Here is a 6,769-nt window from a genome sequence, read left to right as displayed (position 1 = left end):
CAGCTGGCTCTGCGTGAATTACTCTTTCTCCATTGCAATTCCCTGGTCTTGATAAATCAGCTTTGTCAAGGCAGCAGGCAGGGTGAACCCACTGAGCGCTGACATTGTGTGCCAAGCCATGTTCTTGGGTCTGGAAATAGAGCAGTGAACAAAAGTGTTTGTTCTCATATTATTGACAGTAAATATCAGTTATTCTGAGGCACAGAGTGGTTTATTCACTGAAAAATTTGCACTTTAGGCTGTGCTGGAAACTATATATTAGGCATTGAGCATGCTTTACTAAACAAGCAGATTGTTCTTGTCCTCTGTTTTGTTTTGTGACAGTCTTGCTCTGTCTCCAGGCCGGAGTGCAGTGGCCCAATCTTGGCTCACTGCAACTTCCGCCTCCTGGTTTCAAGCGATTCTTATGCCTCAGACTCCCGAGTAGCTGGGATTACAGGCATGCGCCACCACCCCAGCTAATCTTTGTATGTTTGGTATAGACAGGGTTTCACTATATTGGCCAGGATGGTCTTGATCTCCTGACGTTGTGATCCGCCCCCCTTGGCCTCCCAAAGTGCTGGGATTACAGGTGTGAGCCACTGCGCCCAGCCTGTTTTGTTTTAGAGACGATTTTGCTATGTTGCTCAGGCTGGGCTCAAGTGGTCCTCCTACCTCAGTAGGAGTAGCTGGGTAGTTGAGTAGCTAGGGCTACAGGTATGTGCCCCCACATCTGGCTAATTTTTTGTAGAGGTGAGGTCTCCCTGTGTTGCCCAGGGTGGTCTCAAATTCCTCCCACCTTAGCCTTCCAAATTGCTGAGATTACAGGTGTGAAGCCACCACACCTGACCTATCAGTTTATAGTCAGTGGTTAAGTGTGATCCTCAGATCAGCAGTATCAGTAACACCTGGAAACTTGCTTGAAATGCAAATTTCAGACCCGCTTTACATAGATAAGAGCCAGAAATTCTGGAGGTGGGGCCCAGCAAGCTATGGTTTAAGGCCCTCCAGGTGATTCCATTGCTGATTGAGAACCACTAGTCTAGATGAATAATTTGCCAAATTCAACTAAGATATGTTGAGCACCTGACCTAAACTGGTCCTCTGCTAAGCATTTTCACATGATTCATCCCACTTGACTCATATCGATATAGGAAAGTAAATATCCTCTGTCTTGCTTAAGGTTGCACCCACTAGGGCCGGGCATGGTGGCTCATGCCTGTAATCCTAGCACTTTGGGAGGCCGAGACAGGCGGATCACCTGAAGTCAGGAGTTTGAGAGCAGCCTGGCCAACCCTGTCTCTGCTAAAAATACAAAAATTAGCTGGATGTCGTGGCACATGCCTGTAATCCCAACTACTCAGGAGGCTGAGGAAGGAGAATCGCTTGAACCCAGGGGACGGAGGTTGCAGTGAACCAAGATTGCACCACTGCACTCCAGCCTGGGACACAGGGCAACACTCCATCTTAAAAAAAAGGTTGCACCCCTGATAAGTGGTAGATCCTAGATTCAGTTTCTTTCTTCCCCCTCCCCCCACCTTTTTTTTTTTCTATTTGAGACAAGGTCTCTGTCACCCAGGCTGGAGTGCAGTAGCATGATCTTGGCTCACTTCACCCTCTGCCTCCCAGGCTCAAGTGATCCTCCCCACTCAGCCTCCCTAGTAGCTGGGACTACAGGCATGTGCCACCACTCTTAGCTAACTAAGTTTTGTATTTTTGTAGAGATGGGGTTTCACCATGTTACCCAGGCTGGTCTCAAACTCCTGGGCTCAAGCAATCTGCCCGCCTTGGCCTTCCAAAGTGCTGGGATTACAGGCATAAGCCACCATGCCCGGACCATAGTTCATAGTTTCTTTCTTTTTTTTGTTTTTTGAGAGTCTCACTCTCAAAAGGGGTATGGGGCGGCTCCAGGGCCAGGGATGGGACGGCCACAGTTGCGGCAGCTCCAGGACGAGCAAGTGGATCCCGGGAAGCGCTGTGAGCTCCCGAGCCAGCCGGGAGGACGCTTACTACAGCTGCTCAGAAGCACTGCTGGAAGCTCAGATGTGGGCGCCCCAGCCAGAAACCTAGAGGGGTACAGGGAAACTACCGAGAAGCCCCTCCTGATGCCCCAGGGAGCAAGCCAACTCCTTCCAGGCTCCAGGAACACCACAAAGCAATATGAAACCTGTTCATGAGAGGAGTCAGGAATGCCTTCCACCAAAGAAACGAGACCTCCCCACAACCAGCTGCTCCACTAACCACACACCCTCCAGTGATGCCTCTGAATGGTCCCCAGGGGTTGTGGTGGCTGGGCAGAGCCAGAGTCCGCCTCGGGGTGATGGAGCTGTGGCCATCACCGGTCTGACAGTGGACCAGTATGGCATGCTGTATAAGGTGGCTGTGCCGCCTGCCACCTTCTCACCAACTGGACTCCCATCTGTGTGAATATGAGCCCCTTGCCCCCAGAAAAAAAAATTTCATGTACAGTTGATTAAAGGGAATGCTCCATGGCTACTAGGAATGATGAAAATGGGTTGGGCACGGTGGCTCACGCCTGTAATCCCAGCACTTTGGTAGGCCGAGGTGGGCAGATAACCTGAGGTCGGGAGTTTGAGACCAGCCTGACCAACATGGAGAAACCCCATGTCTTCTAAAAATACAAAATTAGCCGAGCGTGGTGGCTCATGCCTGTAATCCCAGCTACTCAGGAGGCTGAGGCAGGAGAGTCACGTGAACCTGGGAGGCGGATGTTGCAGTGAGCCGGGATCGTGACGTAACACCCTAGCCTGGGCAACAAGTGCAAAACTCCATCTCAAAAAGAAAGAATGATGAAAATGTCTGGGCATAGTGCCTCACACCTGTAATCCCAGCACTTTGGGAACTGAGATGGGAGGATTGCTTGAGTCCAGGAGTTCAAAAACATAATGAGACTTGTTTCTCCAAAAAAGAAAAAAAAAAGTTATAGTTATTATTTATTTATTTTTGAGTCAGGGTCTTGCTCTGTCACCCAGGCTGGATTTCAGTGGCATGATCTTGACTCACTGCACCCTCCACCTCTTGGGCTCAAGTGATTCTCCTGCCTCAGCCTCTCAAGTAACTGGGATTACAGGCACCTGCCATCATGCCCAGCTAATTTTTGTATTTTTAGTAGAGACGGAGTTTTACCATGTTGGCCAGGATGGTCTCAAACTCCTGACCCCAAGTGATCTGCCTGCCTTGGCCTTCCAAAGTGCTGAGATTATAGGTGTGAGCTGCTGCGCCAGGCCAAAAAAAAAAATTTTTTTTAAACTTAGCTGGGTTAGTCAGGAGGCCAAGATGGGAGGATCCCTTGAACCGAGGAGCTTGAGGCTGCAGTGACCTGTCATTAGGCCACTGCACTCCCGTCTGGGCAACAGAGTGAGATGCTGTCTCAGGAAAAAAATATTTTAAAAAAGTGATGAAAATGTAATATGTCATTAGGGAACATGTCCTAATAATGTAATAACATATATATGTAGAATAAGTTCATTTTTATAAAGCAAGTATATAATTGTATAAGAGTACAAAAAAATGGCCAGGCATAGTGGCTCATGCTTTTAATCCCAGCATTTTTGGAGGCCAAGGTGGGTGAATCACCAGAGGTCAGGAGTTCGAGACCAACTTGGTCAACTTAGTGAAACTTCGTCTCTACTGAAAATACAAAAAAATTTAGCTGGGTGGGCATGGTGGCAGGTGCCTGTAATTCCAGGTACTTGGGAGGCTGAGGTGGGAGAATTGTTTGAACCCGGGAGGCAGAGGATACAATGAGCCAAGTTCGTGCCACTGGATGTTAGCCTGGGTGACAGAAAAAAAAAAAAAGACAAAAAAAAAAAAAAGAATAAACCTGGTATCATATATGTAGCACACATATTACCAGTGATCATCTTTGTGATTCTATGGGAATATGGGAAATCCTCATTTTCTACATTACATATTTACATGATGCTTGAATTGAAGAGAAAACCAATACGGATATTTTTTAAATTGTGGTTGTGGAGGGCAATACTAACTTATTCAAGATTATTCCTAGTAAAGGGCTACTCAAAATTTACTGGTTTGAAAACTTTGTTATCACCTGATAATTGAGAGCATTTGGGAACTCTTACAGCAAGTTGATATTGCCCAGACTTCCAGAAGTGTCATCAGTAGATGGTTCTTGTTGAACAGGGTATAGACCGCCTTGGGTTACTGAACTTGCATGGCTAGTTGCATGTAAACTAGTCACATGCAGTAAAACCACATACCACACCAGGCGCAGTGGCTCAAACTTGTAATCCCAGCACTTTAGAAGGTGGAAGCAGGTGGATCACCTGAGGTCAGAAGTTCAAAACCAGCCTGGCCAACATGGTGAAAACCCTTTTCTACTAAAAATACAAAAGTTAGCCAGGTGTGGTGGCACATGTCTGTAATTCTGGCTATTTGGGAGGCTGAGGTGAGAGAATTGCTTGAACCTGGGAGGCAGAGGTTTCAGTGAGCCGAGATTGTGCCACTGCACTCCAGGCTGAGTGACAGAGTGTGTCTCCATCTCAAAAAAAAAAAAAAAAACACAAAAAAAAGGATGCCAAATCAAACATAACATTTTAGAAATCTATCATAGGATAGCCAGGCACGGTGGCTCATGCCTGTAATCCCAAATCCCAGCACTTTGAGAGGCTGAGGCAGGCAGATTATGAGGTCAGGAGATCAAGACCATCCTGCCCAACATGGTGAAACCCCGTCTCTACTAAAAATACAAAAATTAGCCTGGTGCAGTGGTGGGTGCCTGTAGTCCTAGCTACTCAGGAGACTAAGGCAGGAGAATCACTTGAACCCGGGAGGTGCAGGTTGCAGTGAGCCAAGATCACCCAGCCTGGGCAGCAAGAGCGAAAACTCTGTCTCCAAAAAAAAAAAAAAAAAAAAATCTATCATAGGATTATATGAGGAGACCAATTTTATTTATATAGGAACTATCTGTCTTTTTACTAGATCTCTGAGCTCTGGGCAGAGCCCACACTGATTCCTGGGATCTCCAAAAAGGGAGCATTATTACGAGGCTAGAATATGTGATGCTTTTTCAGTGCACTTAAAAAATTTTTTTAAATGAAGACACTTCTGTGTCCGGAATTGGTGGGTTCTTCGTCTCACTGACTTCAAGAATGAAGCTGCAGACCTTCGCGATGAGTGTTAGAGCTCATAAAGGCAGTGCGGACCCAAAGAGTGAGCAGCAGCAAGATTTATTGCAAAGCGCAAAAAAACAAAGCCTCCACAGTGTGGAAGGGGACCTGAGCTGGTTGCTGCCCCTGGCTGGGGCAGCCTGCTTTTATTCCCTTATCTGACCCTATCTCCTATTACAAATAGTAGGAGGCCGGGCATAGTGGCTCACGCCTGTAATCCCAGCACTTTGGGATTCTGAGATGGGTGGATCACCTGAGGTCAAGAGTTCAAGACCAGCCTGATCAACATGGCAAAACCCCATCTCTATAAAAATACGAAAATTAGCTGGGCATGGTGGCACATGCCTATAGTCTCAGCTACTCGGGAGGCTTAGACAAGAGAATTGCTTGAACCCGGGAGGTGGAGGAGATCGCACCACTACACTCCAATCTTGGCGACAGAGCAAGACTCTGTCTCAAAAAAAAAAAAAAAAGATTTTTTTAGATGTTCCCACTTTATACCAAAATCTATGTGGCCACACAATAAAGCCCTTCTTTGCTAGCTCCATGGTGAACCTCCTTGTGATCTTTTCCAATTCATTATCCTGTAAAATAAGAAAACAATAAAAATAAGATATAAAAATCGCTTGAGATTATAGCTAGCATCTTATTTTCTATTTATAGTACATTCTCATATGTCTTCTCTTGTAATCCTTAGAACAACTCATAAAGTAGGCATTGCCATTTTAAAGGTGAGGAAATAAGGGATCAAAAAAGTAGATTATAAAAACAGGATAGTAGAACTAGGACTCAAATTCCCATTCTATTAATTCCCCACTGAAAAATATACTAAGTCTTTTTTTTTTTTTTTTTTTTTGAGATGGAGTCTTGCTCTCTCGCCCAGGCTGGAGTGCAGTGGCGCGATCTCGGCTCACTGCAAGCTCCGCCTCCCGGGTTCACGCCATTCTCTTGCCTCAGCCTCCCGAGCAGCTGGGACTACAGGTGCCCGCCACCACACCCAGGTACTTTTTTTTTTTTGTATTTTTTAGTACAGACGGGGTTTCACCATGTTAGCCAGGATGGTCTCGATCTCCTGACCTCGTGATCTGCCCGCCTTGGCCTCCCAAAGTGCTGGGATTACAGGCGTGAGCCACCACGCCTGGCCTACTAAATCTTAATTAAGATTAATTGAAATATAATTATATTCCATGTAAATGGTGAATTTTAAAGAGAATAAAAATCATACGCGTTTATGTTTGTATACAGATAATTTAGTATTATGTAAAGCATTGTGACAACCAGTTTGAATTTGCTTGGAACTGACAGGATAAAAAGTAAGGTTTTTATAGGCTTAGTTAAGATATTTGTCTAGAATGAAATCCTGACTTAAAAACTTCAGATCACAGTAATACTTTTTTTCTTTTTGAGACAGAGTCTTTCTCTGTTGCCGAGGGTGGAGTACAGCAGTGAAATCTCGGCTCACTGCAACCTCTGCCTCCTGAGTTCAAGCAATTCTCATGCCTGAGCCTCCCAAGTAGCTGGGATTACAGGTGCGCACCACTACGCCTGATTAATTAGATCACAGTAATTCTTAAATATGGGTTTAAGTGTCTAACAATATGAAAATATTAATTACCTTTTTAATAAGTAAGAACATA

The 6,769-nt window shown here is 45.5% G+C and overlaps 2 annotated features.

Moving 5' to 3' along the window:
- Positions 916–1,483: an enhancer, noted in NCBI's record as "NANOG-H3K27ac hESC enhancer chr10:75501239-75501806 (GRCh37/hg19 assembly coordinates)". NCBI's record gives its function as "activates a minimal SCP1, AML or CMV promoter by ChIP-STARR-seq in primed H9 embryonic stem cells {active_cell/tissue: H9 hESC(primed)}" and the evidence as "EXISTENCE:reporter gene assay evidence [ECO:0000049][PMID:30033119]".
- Positions 1,484–2,051: an enhancer, noted in NCBI's record as "H3K27ac-H3K4me1 hESC enhancer chr10:75500671-75501238 (GRCh37/hg19 assembly coordinates)". NCBI's record gives its function as "activates a minimal SCP1, AML or CMV promoter by ChIP-STARR-seq in primed H9 embryonic stem cells {active_cell/tissue: H9 hESC(primed)}" and the evidence as "EXISTENCE:reporter gene assay evidence [ECO:0000049][PMID:30033119]".

This window comes from Homo sapiens, chromosome 10 (assembly GCF_000001405.40).
Source record: "Homo sapiens chromosome 10, GRCh38.p14 Primary Assembly".
Lineage (NCBI taxonomy): Eukaryota > Metazoa > Chordata > Mammalia > Primates > Hominidae > Homo > Homo sapiens.
This window is presented reverse-complemented; position numbering and strand designations above follow the sequence as displayed.